At 41.8% G+C, this 18,897-nt stretch overlaps 1 protein-coding gene across 19 annotated transcripts in view; it reads right to left on the minus strand.

The window, feature by feature from the left end:
• Positions 1-4,364: 4,364 nt before the first annotated feature.
• NBPF11 (NBPF member 11) overlaps positions 4,365-18,897 on the minus strand; it is a 50,131-nt gene continuing 35,598 nt past the window's right edge. For 15 of the 19 annotated variants that reach the window (NM_001385468.3, NM_001385480.1, NM_001101663.5 and 12 more), the window contains 12 exons: positions 18,677-18,749; positions 18,007-18,212; positions 16,651-16,702; positions 12,592-12,755; positions 11,498-11,549; positions 10,696-10,868; positions 9,925-9,976; positions 9,156-9,328; positions 8,395-8,446; positions 7,574-7,742; positions 6,751-6,859; positions 4,365-6,126 (listed from right to left, as the gene is read on the minus strand). In NM_001385468.3, the coding sequence (NP_001372397.2) occupies positions 6,110-6,126; positions 6,751-6,859; positions 7,574-7,742; positions 8,395-8,446; positions 9,156-9,328; positions 9,925-9,976; positions 10,696-10,868; positions 11,498-11,549; positions 12,592-12,755; positions 16,651-16,702; positions 18,007-18,212; positions 18,677-18,749 (1,292 nt within the window). In that variant the 3' untranslated portion in view covers positions 4,365-6,109. Of the gene's footprint in view, positions 6,127-6,750; positions 6,860-7,573; positions 7,743-8,394; positions 8,447-9,155; positions 9,329-9,924; positions 9,977-10,695; positions 10,869-11,497; positions 11,626-12,591; positions 12,756-16,650; positions 16,703-18,006; positions 18,213-18,676; positions 18,750-18,897 lie in introns of all 19 variants that reach the window. The other 4 variants (NR_169628.1, NR_169629.1, NR_046188.5 and 1 more) reach the window with 2 other exon arrangements.

Consider the following 18,897-nt stretch of genomic DNA (forward strand, 5'->3'; position numbering starts at 1 on the left):
TTAATTAGATCCCATTTGTCAATTTTGGCTTTTGTTGCCATTGCTTTTGGTGTTTTGATCATGAAGTCTTTGCCCATGCCTATGTCCTGAATGGTATTACCTAGGTTTTCTTCTAGGGTTTTCATGGTGTTATGACTTACATTTAAGTCTTTAATCCATCTTGAGTTAATTTTTGTGTAAGGTGTAAGGAATGGATCCAGTTTCAGCTTTCTACGTATGGCTAGCCAGTTTTTCCAGCACTATTTATTAAATAGGGAATCCTTTCCCTATTGCTTGTTTTTGTCATTTTGTCAAAGATCAGATGGTTGTAGACGTGTGGTGTTATTTCTGAGGCCTCTGTTCTGTTCCATTGGTCTATATCTCTGTTTTGGTACCAGTACCATGCTGTTTTGTTTACTGTAGCCTTGTAGTATAGTTTGAAGTCAGGTAGCATGATGCCTCCAGCTTTGTTCTTTTTGCTTAGGATTATGTTGGCTATGAGGGCCCTTTTTTGGTTCCATATGAAGTTTAAAGTAGTTTTTTTTCCAGTTCTGTGAAGAAAGTCAGTGGTAGCTTGATGGGGATGGCATTGAATCTATAAATTACCTTGGGCAGTATGGCCATTTTCATGATATTGATTCTTCCTATCCATGAGCATGGAATGTTCTTCCATTTGTTTGCGTCCTCTTTTACTGATTGTTTGCTGAAAGTTTGCTGAATTCGCTTATTAACTCTAGTAGTGTGTGTATGTGAGTGTGTGTGTGTGTGTGTGTGTGTCTGGCCTCTGTGTGCATGTATGTGTGTTTGCATCTGTAGGTATTATTTGGGATTTTCTATGCATAGGATCACACCATCTGCAAATTGAGATCATTTTGTTTTCTGTTCAAAAATACTTTTTCTCATGTTTATTTTTAAAAGATAATTTGGCCAGGTGTAGAATTGTAGGTGACAGTTTTTCTTTTTTTTAAGTACTTTATTGCAAACTTCTTGTTTGTATGAGAAATCTTATGCCATCATTATATTTAGTGCTCTGTATGTAACATGTTCTTTCCCTTTTTATTCTTCTTAGGATTTCCTTTTTATCACTGGTTTTGATGGATTTGATTAAGGCGTTCCTTGGTGAAGTTTTCTTCATGTTTCTTGTTCTTAGAATAATCATATTTCTGTAATATTTGAAGTTTATGGTTTCCATGGAGCTTCTAAATCTTTCATCCAGTATGTTTTAAATATCTTTGTCTCTCTTCTCCACTACACGCCCTTCAGGGATTCCATTTAGCCCTATACTAGGGGGTTTAAAGTTTTGATGCCGATGGTCTTTTTATGTTTTCATGTCATTTGTTACTGTGTGTTTGATTTATGTTAGTTTCAACTTGTATTCCTTCTAGTTCAATAATCTTCTCTTCTGCAATGTTTAATCCACTGCCTTCTTCCATTTCAGACTGTAAATCATACTTTTTATTTACAGAATTTGATATTTAAAAAATCTTCAACCTCCCTATTTAATTAAAATACAATTATACTAACTGCTCTAATGTTCTTTTCTTCTATTTCCAACATGTCTGTCAATTTCAACTAGATTATTAGATTCTTCATTATGTGTCATGTTTTCCTGCTTCTTTGGCTGCTTGATATTCTTTTATTTTTATTTATTTTTTTTTGCGGGGGGATAGCGTTTTGCTCTCGTTGCCCAGGCTGGAGTGCAATGGTGTGATCTCAGCTCACTGCAACCTCCACCTCCCAGGTACACAAGCGATTCTCCTGTCTCAGCCTCCCAAGTAGCTCAGATTACAGGCATGCACCATCATGCCTGGCTAATTTTTTTGTATTTAGTAGAGATGGGGTTTCACCATGTTAGTCAGGCTGGTCGTGAACTCCTGACCTCAGGTGATCCATCTGGCTGCTTGATATTCTAAGATTTGATGCTGGAACTTTGGTGTCAATGCTCAAAATGCCCAAAGACACCACTCAACCTCAGTGTCTATGCACACCCAAGCTTTTGCAGCAGGACAGGTAGAGCACAGATGAGTGTGCTACAACATGCTGGTAGAAGGTACCCCCAATTGTGCTTGGGGATTTCCTATTCCTCATGCAAAAATGTGTCTTCCTTAATTTTTCCCATAAGAACCACCCTACTTCATGCCCTGTCTCTCTGTCCAAACACCAGGACAGTCCTCTCACCAGTCTCAACCACCCAATGGATTGACAAAGGTGCAAATATGATTCAGTGGAGAAGGCATTCTCTTGTCAACAAATTGTGTAGAAACAACTTTTTTTACACAATTTGTTTTTCTTTATCCCCATAGGAAAAAAATTCACCTGAACCTCAATACTAACTCAAAAATTAACTCAAAATGGATTATGCAACTAAATATAAACTATAAAACTAGAAAAAGTATAGCAGAAAATATAAGACAAAATCTTCATGACACAGAGTTAGGCAAAGTGTTCTTTATTATCAATAAACACAAACCATTGAAGAAAACATTGATAAATTCGACTTTATAAAAATTAAAAGTTTTTGCTCAACAGTATTAAGAGAACAAATATAAGCTGCAGTTTGGGAGAAAAACAGTGGAAATCACCAATATGACAAAGGGCATGTGTGATAGTTACTTGTAGTTGTCACTGTGACCGAGCACCAGGGTGCCAGGACATTTGGCCAAACATGATTCTGGTTGTGTTCCAGAGAGTCTTTCAGATACGATTAACATTGGGATGGGCAGACTAAGTGAAGCAGATTGCCCTCCTTAATAGGGGTGGGCCTCATGCAATCAATCAAGGGCCAGGAGAGAATTAAGAGGCCTAATGGGAAACAAATGCTTTCCTGGATATCCAGCTTTCCTTCCATCTTGGGAATTTCAGCCTCCATAATCTCAGAAGCAAATTCATGTATATATATACACACACATATACATTTCATAGGTATGTGGCTAAGATTGTATTTTTACAAGTTCAGCCATGAGATGATTGGTGAAGCCAGCCAATGAATAAGGGTGTGTTCTATTATACGATTCAGTCTTCTTTTGTAAACGATTGAAGTTCTGCATTTGAAGTAGGAGGATAGGAGGGAGCAAGTCCACCTAGGATGATAACAGCTGAATTTCTCAACTTACACTTCAGAGCCATAGGGGTCAACTTAGAGACTCAAAAATCTCACCCATAATCCTGCCCTAAACACCAGGGCTAGGGAACACTGTGGCCCTCAGGTGATTTTCTTTAGCCAGGACTGGGAGCCACACGACGGCAGAGGGAGCAGGAAACACTATGCAAATAGAGGCCAGGACAGCAGGGAGGGCCTGTTCATGATAGAACCCAGGCAAAACTCTCCTCAGAAAGCGAGTGTGGAGAAACATAGATCATGCCTGAGACCTGGTGGATTAGAGCACTGGCTACTGGGGAATTGAAAGGAAGGGGCTTCACCGTGCAGAGGACCAGAGGTGCCAATCTTGGAAATGCAGAATTGCTGGGAGATGGGGAGGCACGGACCATGGAAGTATCCTCTGGAGACTCATGGCGAAGAGAACAAATGAATGAAGTAACTGGCAGAAATTAGAGGTCCTGGTAGAACAAAATAGAATCCCACAATGAGAACATACACCATGTATGTCCCCCAAGGATGACAATATCTCCTAAAAGCTCCAGAAAAATCATTTTGGACAAGCACCTTATATCTAGTAATGTGATCCATGTATCGAGACCGTGAGAAAAGATTATTAAACATGCTAAACTCAGCGAGACCTGATTCCCTCATGAGGACTCTGTTAAGGATGAGTACCACTCAGCAAGTGATGACAGTGACATTCACTTTTGAATAGCTCATGAGCGTTAATATATTTCATTATGGATCTAAACCACAATGGATAAAAACCAAGGTAGGGGCAGGATGATAATCACAGAATGTCACCGGTATATGTTTAGGTTCAAATACTATTATGAGAAGTGGCAGGTAAAGGAGGTAGGAAAAAGAAAACACATCATGTAATTGACTGTTGTATGGAAATATTTGATGCTGAAAGTTATAATTTAAAACTATAAACCAAATATTAGAAGTGTGTCTAGTTCAAAGGGAGGAAAACCATCAAAAACATTTTTAGTGCAATATTTAACATGAGCTATACAACCCTTCCTAAATGCCAAAGGCACACACAGACACACACACAGACACACACACACACACACACTCACGAAGAATACAAATGACTAGAACCAAGAAATGTAAATACATTCTGCTACGTATGGTAAACATAGCCTACAATGTGGAAGAGATTAGAAAATAAACATGGAAATGAAATGTTTTTATTAATTCGCATCAGTACCCACCAAAACCAATCAGCATAATCAAATATTATAACACTGAATGTAAAAAACAATCCAAAAGTCCAGAGTGATAGGCAAAAGGTTTTAATTGTATAGATTAAAATTAACTTTGGACAAAAATTAAAACTCAGGCAAAGAATGTTTTCTTCTTTTTGCAACAGCAGACACTAGTAAAAACAAAGGCACAGTAAAAATTGAGACCCAAAATTTGCAGCGTAGAGATATGAATATAATAATAGACACAGGCAGGGAGGATTAATAAATGATAAAATGTTTAGAGGATGATCATTAGAATACAGGATATTTATACTCTTGAAAACCACTTTCCCAAGTACTTCATTATAAGTAAGGTGTCTCTAAAAGGGACAGATCTCCTAGACCCCTCCTTAACCAAGTAACCAGTCCTGATATCATAATGGTGTTGGACAAACTAGACCTTCTCTGCCCGCAGATGGGCTGAGGTTGGAAACTCACAGCATTGTCTCTGCAGTGTTCCCGTCAAAAAGTTTAGGCTGAATTTAATTATGAAGACATTTTCAGACAACTTCAGAATGTAGATCATTGAGCCAGACAGCTGACCTGTCCTCTATAAACAAGTCCATGTCACCACCATCCATGACAACAACAAAAAGATGAGGAAATATTTGGGGTTCAAAATAACTAAAGAAATGCAGCTACATTATCTTTTTACTTTTTTTCAACCCAAAATATCTCTTCTCCTTTTTGTTGTGTGATTTGTGGTGATATGGACTATGTGAAGGAGACAGGTCAGTTGTCCTGCTCAGTGTTCTACATTCTGCAGTTGTCTGGTGATTACCTCCTATGAAACTCAGGCTAAGCGTTTTCTGCAAGAACATGGCATTGCTCATATTCTGCACCGGCAGAGTCCTGGGTGACATGCTGTCTCCTGCCAGCGGCTCCTGACTCCTGTTCTCTACAGGATGGAATTGAGAGGAGCAGGGCTAAGGCCTCCCAATGCTGTTTGTCCATCTAGCTGTGGTCTTCCTAAGTACTGACACCAATTGGAGGCTGAAGGACTGTGGCTTCTCTAACCAAAGGAGCCTAGCGGGTTAACAATTGTCAAGAGCAGTTGGTGGTTCTGAAATACAATCCTCAGCCAAGGATCCCTCCTGTGTTACAGATGGATCAGCTAAAACAAGCCAACACTGAAGACACAAAGAATGAGGTTAGGTTCATTGAAACCAGGGTAACACCTTTGGATGAGCTAAACACAAAGATGACACTGACCTTGAGCAGGTATAGAAGCTCAGAGACATGCCTGCAAAATGAAATCCCTGAGGAATTTTGTAGCTACCCAGAGATACGTGGTTCAAATTAAAATGTCCGACTGATCACTCCCGGCATGTGCTGCACAGTTATGTGAACGTGTCACACCTAACGTGGGTCCATTGTCTTCAGACTGAGCACAGGTTGCCACTGGCATGCTCTGAGAATAGGAATAGAGCCATGCCCACTGACCCATCCTATGTCTGGGCTTCCAAATGGAACTATAGTTTCATTCAAATCTTCAGGTGCCTATAGGTCCTGCCTGCAGGAATGACACCTCTCGGCTTAGTAAGGGCTGCTTATTGTGGGAATATGACTCCCATCTGGAAGACCAGGTGGAGACTTCTCACCGTCAAAGTAAAAAACCTATTGTCCATGTCAAGGGCAAAGCTGATGTGCTGTTCCTCAAATGAGTAAAACACACTTCTGTAGTGCTGGAATGAGTCAGGTAGTTCAAAGTACATTGATGGAGTCGAATAATATCTATCCAGTGAGTCCTGTAAGACTTCAGGCACTTCCACTTCCATCAGCACGCTGCTGAGCCTGGAAAAGGAGACAAAACTAAAGAAGCAGCCAGGGAAAATCAGACACCACAGAGCCCCACTAGATTTCAGAAGTAACATAAGGAAGTGGTTGGAAAAGAAAAAGGACAGATCCATTAATGAGGTAACAAATTATTGCCTTTATGTTGGGATAGAACAGGGCCAGGTAGAAAACAATGAAAGAGAAAGACAGAGAGAGAGAGACAGAGACAGAGACAGAGACAGAGACAGAGACAGAGAGAAAGTGAGCTAGTGAATTGGCCAGGTGACATACTGGTAAGGGAGTCAAAGGACACTCTGACTTAGTGCCCTCATGACACACAGCAAACTGTGATCATGAAAAGAGTGAGCTCAATAGTTTTCCATAAAATATGCTCAAAATTCGATGCAGTGGCCATGAGAGTACAGCTTTTGAAGTATGGTCCACCTATGGTACGTTAGTAAATGATAAGGGGAGGAAGAAATGGAAACCTAAACATCTACTGCAATGAAAACCAACAACAATGACAGTAGGAGTAATTCAGCCTTCGTTGAAAACATGACATCAAACACACTCTGGTTTCCCTGAATCTGTTGCCTCCAGGTGTTAACACAGAATTAAGCATCCACAATTGCTGAAAGTTACCTGGGGCATGGTGGGTTTTGATCTTCTTCCCCTTCTTTTCTTCCCCTTCTTCTTTTCTTCTTTGATCTTCTTCCCCTTCTTTTCTTCCCCTTCCCCTTCTTTTCAATTTCTGCAATAAATTCAGACATGGACAGACACATTAAGCTGATTCCCCTACACACATAACAATCCACTGTCTAATCCTCACACAGGGACCTCAGGCTCCTCAGCATAAGAATAGGACACTGTGAGAGATATATTTCAGGAGGCCTGAAGGCTGGTCGTGATAGAAATTCCTCGGTTTTTCTCCCAGAAACTCTGGGTAAAATGTCCCTATTCTAGTAGATCATTATCCCAATATCATTTGTCCCAAGTTTGTGCAAACAGTTATGCCTTATTTTTCCAATCAATTTAAAGCAAATACCCTCAAATGATTTCTAGGAGAAAAACTGCAATATTTAGCCCTGTCTCATCAAATACTCAGATTGTTCATGGTTGTGAGGACTCCAGACACTGAAATTAGAGTGAAAAAGGAAATCTACAAACCCTCGAGTCAAAATCATAGTTCTCTGAATTTGTCACATCTGCCCAGGTCCAATGTCATGAGAGTAGAATCAGAGTGCCACAGGCATGGCCTGAGACTAGGAAGAGAGCCATGCTCACTGACCCATCCCATGTCTGGGCTTCCAGGTAGAACTAGAGTTTCATTCAACCTACATGTGCCTATAGGTCCTCACTGCGGCAATGACATCTCTCAGCTCAGTAATGGCCACTTGGAGCAGGAATATGATCTTTATATGGAAGACTCAGTGGATCCTTATCACCTTCATAGAAAGGTACTCACCTCCCACGTCAAGAGAAAAGCCAACATGTTTTTCCTCCAATGCATAAAAGGAACTTCCGTAGGGCTGGCAGGAGTCAGGCTGTTCAAGACAACTGGAAGGAGTTGAATAACATCCAGTGAGTCCTGCAAGACTTCAGGCTCTACTACCTCCAGCAGCTCCCTGCTGAGCCTGGAAAAGGAGGAAAAAGTAAAGAATAAGCCAGGGGAAATCACACACAACAGAGCCCCAACTAGGTTTCATGGGTAGCATAAGGAAGTGGTTAAAAAAGTAAAAGGATAGATCTATTAATGAGGTAACAAATTATTGCCTTCATGTTGGGACAGAACAGGGCCAAATGGAAAAGAATGAAAGAGAAAGACAGACACACACACACACACACACACACAAACACACACACAAAGACACACACACACACTGAGAGAGAGAGAGAAAACGAGCTCAGTGAATTGTCCAGGTGACACACTGATGAGGGAGTAACAGGACACTCTGAGTTAGTGCCCTCAGGACACACAGCATACAGTGATCATGAAAAGACTGTGCTCAATAATTTTCCATAAAATGTGCTCAAGTTTCCATGCAGTCACCATGAGAATACAGTTTTTGAAGTCTGGTCCACCTGCAGTAGGTTAGTAAATGATAAGGGGAGGAAGAAATGGAAACCTAAATATCTACTGCAATGAAAACCAACAGCAATGTTAGTAGGAATAATTCAGGCTTGGTTGAAAAGATGTAATCGATAATGTCAGCCCGCTCTGTTTTCCCTGAACCAGGAGTCTCCAGATGTCAACACAGAAGTAGCTGTTCACAATTGCTCAGTTACCTGGGGCACGGTGGGCCTTGGTCTTCTTCCTCTTCTTGGTCCTTTTTAATTCCTGCAATACATTCAGACAGGGACAGACAAAATAAGCCAATTCACCTACACCCATAACAGTCCACTGTCTAATCCCCACACAGGGATCTCAGGCTCCTCAGCATGAGAACAGGACAATGTGAGGGATATACTTCAGGAGGCCTGAAAGCTGGTCATGATATTCTTTGGTTTGCATCTCAGAACCAAGGGTGAAATATCCCTATTCTGGTAGATCGTTATCCCAAAATCATTTATCCCAAGTTTGTGCAAACAGTTATGCCTTATTGTTCCCATCAGTTCAAAGAAAATGCCCCAGAGGATTTCTAGGAGGAAAACTAAAGTATTCAGCCCTGTCTCATCAAATGCCCAGCTCGTTCACGGATGCAAGAATTTTAGACACTGAAATTACAATGAAGGAGGAAATCTACAAACCCTTGAGTCCAAATCATAGTTCTGTGAATTTTTTACATCTGCCTGGGTCCAATGTGCTGAGAGTGGGCTCAGGTTGCCATAGGCATGGCTGGAGACTAGGAATAGAGCCTTGCTCACTGACCCATTTCATGTCTAGGCTTCCAGCTGAGACTACAGTTTCATTACAACCTATATGCACCCATAGGTCCTGCCTGTGGCAATGAAGTCTCTCGGGTCAGTAAGGGCCACTTGGAACAGGAATATCACCCCTATCTGGAAGGCCAGGTGGAGGCTTATCACCTTCATAGTAAGGTACTCACTGTCCACGTCAAGAGCCAAGCCAAGGTACTGTTCCTCCAATGAGTAAACAGCACTTCTGTAGGGCTGGCCTAAGTCAGGCAGTTCAAGATAACCTGAAGGAGTCGAATAACATCTATCCAGTGAGTCCTGCAAGACTTCAGGCTCTTTCTCAGCCAGCAGCTCCCTGCTGAGCCTGGAAAAGTAGGAAAAAGTAAAGAATAAGCCAGGGGGAATCAGAAACCACACAGCCCCAGCTAGATTTCATGGCTAACATAAGGAACTGTTTAAAAAGAAAAAGGACAGATCCATTAATGAGGTAATGAATTATTGCCTTTATGTTGGGATAGACCAGGGCCAGGTAGAAAAGAATGAAAGAGAAAGACAGGGAGAGGGAGAGAGAGAGAGAGGAGAAAGTGAGCTCAGCGAATTGGCCGGGTGACACACTGATGAAGGGGTCAAAGGACACTCTGAGTTAGTGCCCTCGGGACACACAGCGAACAGTGATCATGAAAAGAGTGGGCTCAATAATTTTCCATAAACTTGCTCAAGATTCCATGCAGTTGCCATACGGCCTTTGAGGTATGGTCAACCTATAGTAAGTTAGTAAATGACAAGGGGAGGAAGAAATGGAAACCTAAACATCTACTGCAATGAAAACCAACAGCAATGTCAGTGGGAGTAATTCAACCTTCGTGGAAAACATGAAATTGAACACACTCTTGTTTTCCCTGGACCTGGCATCTCCAGGTGTCAACACAGAATTAAGCATCCATAATTGCTCAAAGTTACCTGGGGCATGATGGGTCTTGGTCTTCTTCCACTTCTTGGTACTTTTCAATTTCTGCAATAAGTTCAGACATGGACAGACATATGAAGCTGGTTCTCCTACACACATAACAATCCACTGTCTAATCCTCACACAGGGACTTCAGGCTCCTCAGCATGAGAATAGGACACTGTGAGAGATATTCTTCAGGAGGCCTGAAGGCTGATCATGATAGAGATTCCTTGGTTTTTGTCCCAGAAACTGTGGGTAAACTTCCCTATTCTGGTAGATCGTTATCCCAATATCATTTGTCCCAAGTTTGTGCAAATGGTTATGCCATATTTTTCCAATCGATTTAAAGCAAATGCCCCCAAATGGTTGCTAGGAGAAAAACTGCACTATTCAGCCCTGTCTCATCAAATACTCAGATTGTTCATGGTAGTGAGGATTTTAGATGCTGAAAGTAGAGTGAAGGATGAAATCTACAAGATCTACAGAATTGAGACAAAATCAGAGTTGTGTGAATTTGTCACATCTGCCCAGATCCAACATCTTGAGAGTAGGATTAGGGTGCCACAGGCATGGCCTGAGACTAGGAAGAGAGCCTTGCTCACTGACCCATCCCTTGTCTGGGCTTCCAAGTGGAACTAGAGTTTCACTCAACCTACATGTGCCTATAGGTCCTCCCTGTGGCAATGACATCTCTCAGCTCAGTAAGGGCCACTTGCAGTAGGAATATGACCCTAAACAGAAGACTCAGTGGATCCTTATCACCTTCATAGAAAGGTACTCACCATCCATGTCAACAGCCAAGCCAATACGCTGTTGCTCCAATACGTAAAAGGCACTTCTGTAGGGCTGGCATGAGTCAGTCAGTCCAAGATAAACTGAAGGAGTTGAATAACATCTATCCAGTGAGTCCTGCAAGACTTCAGGCTCTTTCTCATCCAGCAGCTCCCTGCTGAGCCTGGAAAAGTGGGAAAAAGTAAAGAATAAGCCAGGGGGAATCAGAAACCACACAGCCCCAGCTAGATTTCATGGCTAACATGAGGAAGAGTTTGAAAAGAAAAAGGACAGATCCATTAATGAGGTAACAAATTATTGCCTTTATGTTGGGATAGACTAGGGCCAGGTAGAAAAGGATGAAAGAGAAAGACACACACACACACACACACACACACACACACACACACACACACACACAGTGTGAGCTCAGTCAATTGGCCAGGTGACACACTGATGAGGGAGTCAAAGGACACTCTGTATTTGTGCTCTCAGGACACACAGTGAACAGTGATCATGAAAAGCATGGCCTCAATAATTTTGCATAAAATGTGCTCAAGTTTCCCTGCAGTCACCATGAGAATACAGCTTTTGAGGTATGGTCAACCTTCACTAGGTTAGTAAATGATAAGGGTAGGAAGAAATGGAAACCTAAACATTTACTCTAATGAGAACCAAAAAACAATGCAGTAGGCATAATTCAGACTTGTCTGACAAGACAAAATCATGATTTTCAGCGTGTACTGTTTTCCCTGGACTTGGCATCTCCAGGTGTCAACATCAAATTAACTGTCCACAATTTCTCAGACTCACCTGGGACCTGTTGCCTCTTGGTCCTCCTTTTTCACTTGATCCCACCGATGTCCTGCAAATAAATTCAGATGGGGCCTCTTACATTAAGCAGTTCTTCCTTGCACACAGAAACATTCCTCTGTCCAATCCTAACACAGGGACATCAGTCTTGTCAGTGTGAAAACAGGAGACTTTGAGAGAAATATTCCAGTAGGCCTGAGGTCAAGTCTTGAGAAAACTGGCTTGGGTTCTTTCATGAGCCTTGGGCAAAATTCCCCTGTGTTGGAATGTTATTTTCCCTATGTGCTCTGTCCTAGGTTTATGTACACAAATGAGCAATTTTTTCCCCAATAAATTGTAGGCAAATAGTTCTAACACCTCATAGGAGAGATACTTCAATATTAAGCTTTCTCTCATCAAATACCCAGAATTTGATAGTTTATGAGATTGTGGACACAGAGATTTGATGAAGGGGTGCAATGTACCAGCTCTTGAGTCAAAATGAAACTTGGTTCTACACAGAAGCATCAGCTATTATGGCTTTTGTGGGTGAAAAGTAAGCCATTTATCTAGAAAACATACCAGGAACATGACGGACAGATGAGCTAAAACAAGCGAACTTAGAAGACACAGAAAATGGGGATAAATTCAGTGAAACCTGGGTCACATCTTTCACTGAGAGGTAGACAAGGGTGACACTGGCCTTGGGCAGGTAAAGAACCACACAGACATGCTTTGGGAACAAAACTCATAAGGAATTTTGTAGCTGGCAAGAGACATTTAATTCAGATGAGCTGATCTGACAGACAACTCCTGGGCATGTGCTGCACAGTTTGGTGTGAGTTTGCCACACCTGCCTTGAGTTCAATGTCGTGACAGTCAGTCCAGGTTGGCATGGGCATGGCCTGAGACTAGGAAGAGAGCAAAGCTCACTGACCCACCCCATGCCTGTGCTTCAGACTCGACTCCAGAGTGATTGAAATCTACATTGATATATAGGTTCAGCCCACAGTGATGGCAACTCTCAGCCCAACCAGGGGCACAAGGCCCAAAGATTATGGGGTCTACCTGGGCCATGAACTGGAGCTTTATCACCTTCACAATGGAGTACTCACTGCCTATGTCAACAGCCATGCAGACTTGCTGTTCCTCTAATGAGTGAAATGTGCTGCTGTAAGACTGGTACGAGGCCAACCTTTCAGGAGGAATTGAGAGAGTCGAATAACCTTCATCCCAGGACTCCTGGGGGACTTCCTCCTCTTCAGACTCCTGCAGATTCCTGATGAGCCAGGCAGGACAGGGATGATAGAAGATTTAACCAACAGACATTAGACAACAAAACCTCCCAGATGATCTGATGGGAGACAGAATGGAGTGGTCACAGAAACCAAAGGCATTTTTCCTTCAAGAGAAATAAAACTATCCTTCTAAATACAGGGTGGAGGGTGACTGCTCTGGGGACAGAGCAAAAATGGGCAGCATGTGCTCAGTACATTTGCCACAGATGAGCCAACTCAGGGCACCCAGACTCTCCCTGTAAACTACCATCATGACTTGCAGCACAGAGAACTGACACAGGGCTTCAACTACTTTGCATAAATTGGGTTGAATTTTACACGCAGCATTCAAGTGAAGAGAGTTCTTGACGCAGTGCAGACACAGATCTTGTGTATTAAGGGCCCCATTTTCCCAATATTTTGATATAATATATTTACTTTTTCAATTTCTTTTCTTGCAAAAATACTAGCCAACATACTACCAACAAATGGGAAGAAAGCATATATACATCTCTCCCTGGATTTAAACACATGGGAGAGAATAGGCGACACCAAGAAATCTCTGTTTGAGGGTCTGGAGTGGACTTCCAGCAAACTCCAACAGACCTGAAGCTGAGGGACCTGACTGTTAGAAGGAAAACTAACACACAGAAAGGGATAGCATCAACATCAACAAAAAAGACATCCACCCCAAAACCCCATCTGTAGGTCACCATCATCAAAGACCAAGGGTAGATAAAACCACAAAGGTGGGGAGAAACCAGAGCACAAAAGCTGAAAATTCCAAAAACCTGACATCCCTTCTCCTCCAAAGGATCGCAGCTCCTCGCCAGCAATGGAACAAAGCAGGATAGAGAATGACTTTGACGAGCTGACAGAAGTAGGCTTCAGAAAGTCGGTAATAACAAACTTCTCTGAGCTAAAGGAGGATGTGCGAACTCATCGCAAGGAAGCTAAAAACCTTAAAAAAAGATTAGACGAATGGCTAACCAGAATGAACAGTGTAGAGAAGACCTTAAATGACCTGATGGAGCTGAAAACCATGGCACGAAAACTACGTGATGCATGCACAAGCTTCAGTAGCCAATTCGATCAAGTGCAAGAAACGGTATCAGTGATTCAAGATCAAATTAGTGAAATGAAGCGAGAAGAGAAATTTAGAGAAAAAAGAGTAAAAAGAAATGAACAAGCCTCCAATAAATATGGGACTATGTGAAAAGACCAAATCTACGTTTGATTGGTGTACTGAAAGTGACGGGGAGAATGGAACCAAGCTGGGAAACATTCTTCAGGATATTATCCAGGAGGACTTCCCCAACCTAGCAAGGAAGGCCAACATTCAAATTCAGGAAACACAGAGAACACCATAAAGATACTCCTCGAGAAGAGCAACCCCAGGACACATAATTGTCAGATTCACCAAGGTTGAAATGAAGGAAAAAATGCTAAGGGCAGCCAGAGAGAAAGGTCGGATTACCCACAAAGGGAAGCCCATCAGACTAGCAGCAGATCTCTTGGCACAAACCCTACAAGCCAGAAGAGAGTGGGAGCAATATTCAACATTCTTTTTTTTCCATATGTATAGTTTTCCTTTATTATTTTTTGTGTGTATGTATATATATATATTTTAATACTTTAAGTCTTAGGGTACACGTGCACAACGTGCAGCTTAGTTACATATGTATACATGTCCACATTGGTGTGCTTCACCCATTAACTCATCATTTAACATTAGGTATATCTCCTAATGCTACCCCTCCTCCCTCCCCCCACCCTACAACAGGCCCCAGTGTGTGATGTTCCCCTTCCTGTGTCCATGTGTTCTCATTGTTCAATTCCCACCTGTGAGTAAGAACATGCGGTATTTGGTTTTTTGTCCTTGCAATAGTTTGCTGAGAATGATGGTTTCCAGCTTCATCCATGCCCCTACAAAGGACATGAACTCATCATTTTTTATAGCTGCATAGTATTCCATGGTGTATATGTGCCACATTTTCTTAATCCAGTCTATCATTGCTGGATATTTGGCTTGGTTCCAAGTCTTTGCTATTGTGAATAGAGCCGCAATAAACATATGTGTGCATGTGTCTTTACAGCAGCATGATTTATAATCCTTTGGGTATACACCCAGTAATGGGATGGCTGGGTCAAATGGTATTTCTAGTTCTAGATCCCTGAGGAATTGCCACACTGCCTTCCACAATCGTTGAACTAGTTTACAGTCCCACCAACAGTGTAAAAGTGTTCCTATTTCTCCACATCCTCTCCAGCACCTTCAACATTCTTAAAGAAAAGAATTTTCAACCAAGAATTTCATATCCAGCCAAACAAAGCTTCATAAGTGAAGGAGAAATAAATCCTTTACAGAGAAGCAAATGCTGAGAGATTTTGTCACCACCAGGCCTGCCCAAAAAGAGCTCCTAAAGGAAGCACTAAACATGGAAAGGAACAACCGGTACCAGCCACTGCAAAAACATGCCAAACTCTAAAGACCATTGACGCTAGGAAGAAACTGCATCAACTAACGGGTGAAATAACCAGCAAACATCATAACGACAGGATCAAATTCACACATAACCATATTAACCTTAAATGTAAAGGGGCTAAATGCCCCAGTTAAAAAACACAGAATGGCAAATTGGATAAAGAGTCAAGACCCATCAGTGTGCTGTACTCAGAAAACCCATCTCACATGCAGAGACACACATAGGCTCAAAATAAAGGGATGGAGGAAGATCTACCAAGCAAATGGAAAGCAAAAAAACGCAGGGGTTGCAATCCTAGTCTCTGATAAAACAGACTTTAAACCAACAAAGATCAAAAGAGACAAAGAAGGCCACTACATAATGGTAAAGGGATCAATTCAACAAGAAGAGTTAACTATCCTAAATATATATGCACCCTATACAGGAGCACCCAGATTCATAAAGCAAGTCCTGAGAGACCTACAAAGAGATTTAGACTCCACACAATCATCATGGGAGACTTTAACACCCCACTGTCAATATTAGACAGATCAATGAGACAGAAGCTTAACAAGGATATCCAGGACTTGAACTCAGCTCTGCACCAAGCAGACCTAAAAGACATCTACAGAACTCTCCACCCCAAATCAACAGAATATACATTCTTCTCAGCATCACATCACACTTATTCCAAAATTGACCACATAGTTGGAGGTAAAGCACTCGTCAGCAAATGTAAAAGAATGGAAATCACAACAAACTGTCAGACCACAGTGCAATCAAATTAGAACTCAGGATTAAGAAACTCACTGAAAACTGCACAACTACATGGAAACTCAACAACCTGCTCCTGAATGACTACTGGGAAAATAACAAAATGAAGGCAGAAATAAAGATGTTCTTTGAAACCAATGAGAACAAAGACACAACATACCAGAATCTCTGGGACACATTTAAAGCAATGTGTAGAGGGAAAATTATAGCACTAAATGCCCACAAGAGAAAGCAGAAAAGATCTAAAATTGACACCCTAACATCACAATTAAAATAACTAGAGAAGCAAAGCAAACAAATTCAAAAGCTAGCAGAAGACAAGAAGTAACTAAGATCAGAGCAGAACTAAAGGAGATAGAGACACAAAAAACCCTTCAAAAAATCAATGAATCCAGGGCTGGTTTTTTGAAAAGATCAACAAGAAAACCCTGTTTGGCTAGTTCACCTGGCTCATCTGATGGCAAGTTCCTATCTTGAGAGGACTATGAAATTAAAACCAACACAAGTGCCACAAATGACATACAACATTGTAAATCAGCACAATTTGTAGCTGGGTGAATGGAAGAAATAGTTCTATTCATCACTTCCTCATTTTCCCTAAATCTACAATCTCCAGATGTCACTACTGAATTAACAGCCAACAATTCCACAACATTACCTGGGAGACACTGGCCCTTTTTCTTCCTCTTCCTCATCATCACTTTCATTTTCTGTAAATAAATTCAGAGAAGCAGGTCACATTAAGCAATTCATACTTCACATATGAACAAATCACTGTCCAGTCATAGCACAAGGACATAACTATTCTCAGTGCAAGAATAAGGATTCTGACAGGAATATTCTAGGGTGCCCTAGATTAACTTTGGTGAGAATTAGATGACCCTGCTTTCCAGACCCACAGGCCAAAATCTCCCTCTACGTGTAGACCATAATGCCATATTCCCTGCCTGAGTCAAAGTTAAACAAAATTTTTTCCCCAAAAAAATCTCCAAAAATTGGTCAAACAATTTTCTAAGAGTGTTGCTGCAATACGGACTTATATCACCAGGTAACATGGACATTAAATGTTTAGAGGCATCTATACATGAAACACGACTGATAGATAAATTTGAACAACTCTTGCTTTAAAAAGCATCTGTGATTTGGGAGGCCAAGACAGGTGAATCATTTGAGGTCATGAGTTCAGGACTACCCTGGCCAATATGGGGAAACCCTGTCTCTACTAAAAATACAAAAATTAGCCAGATGTGATGTTGTGCACCTGTGGTCCCAGCAACTCAGGAGGCTGAGGCAGGAGAATCACTTGAATCTGGGAGGCAGAGGTTGCACCAAGTCAAGATGGTGCCACTGCACTCCAGCCTAGGTGACAGAGCAGGACTCCATCACAAAAAAAAAAAAAAAAAAAAAAAAAAAAAAAAAAAAAAATCTACGACGCTACAAAGAAACATTGGATCAGCCATTGCATTGACAGGGTGGAGAACCAGGGTCCAGCCTTGCTTTATGGAAATATATCAGCAAAGTAAAGAAGAAAAGTTTCCATCCTGATTTCAGGGTGACTGTGCAGCTAAGCAAGCTGACTTAAAGGAGATCCAGATGAAAGCTGAGAGCAGTGAAACCTGGGGAAAAATATTTCCAAATACAAAGGCAAGGCTGCCAGGTTCCTTAAACAGGCATAGAAACTCCATGGACATTGTTCAGGGACAGATGACTAAATCACAGATGACAAGAGATACTGAATCGAAGTTAGGAGGCCTGACAGATACTGCCTGTGCACCTCCTGCACTGAGGTGACTATGAGATTGTCACACTTGCCTGGGGTCGAGTAACTTGATACTGGGGACTGGCAAACAAAGGCATGACATTAGCTGAGAAGGACAAAAAAACTCCCTGATATCTGTTTAGAAACCCATCACAGTTTTTTATTCAAATGAATTTGTGTTTATAGAGCCTGTCTTCAGAGTTTATCTTCCTCAGCCTAGAGAGAGGTATGAGACACAAGGAAAACAGAGGCTACCTGGGATAATGTGTACAGCATCCTCCCATTCAACATGAGAGGATGAGCCAATGAGAGTTGAGTCGACTTTGTCTTCCTCAAATGTGATTTTGGTTTTTCTATGTGGCTGGTTGGAGTCATAAGGGCCATGGCTATTTGAACAAGTGATGGCACACTCCTCCAGTGAGTCCTCAGGGACTTCCTTTTCTTCAGCCTTCTGCATCTCCCTGATGAGCCAGGTGGGACAGAGATGACAGAAGATTAAACACAGAGGGATTGGACCCCAGGGAGTCCTAGCTGGTTTTGACAGGCGGCATTAAGAGAGTGGTCCCAGAAAGCAAAATGGACGTTCCCATTAAGAGGGAACATGCAATCCTGTTCTGTCTGCAACAGAGCATGGCTGCCATGGGAACCAGAGAGGAAGAGAGCAGCTGCTGTTCATTGCACTGGACAGATAGGAGCTGAGGAGGATGAAGACTCAGCTATCCCTGTACGGTGCAGACATGACACTCGGCACACATAGAGAAACATGACAGCTGCCGCACCCTGTGTCTAAGCTGGGTTATATTTCACATACTGTGGCCAAGCGAATGCGGGTTTTTGGCCCATCATACATGCCAGAGAGGGTGTGCCTCCTAGATATTCTTCATATGTTACCATCCATTAATTGTTCCTGAGTATTCAGTGTTACCTGGGGGAAGACGATTTCTGCACTTTCTCAGCCACCTCAACTTGAACATCTTCATCGTCATCGTTATCATTTTCTGTAAATACAGAAGTGTTCATTCAGATATTTCCCACTTCACAGTCTGCAAGCACAGTCAGCCCAATGTGCAACAGGGACATGAACATCTAGGCATGGGTCACCGTTCAACTGAAAACTCTCATGTTTTATCTTTAACAGAATGCCCT

Source organism: Homo sapiens, chromosome 1 (assembly GCF_000001405.40).
Source record: "Homo sapiens chromosome 1, GRCh38.p14 Primary Assembly".
Taxonomy (NCBI): Eukaryota; Metazoa; Chordata; class Mammalia; order Primates; family Hominidae; genus Homo; species Homo sapiens.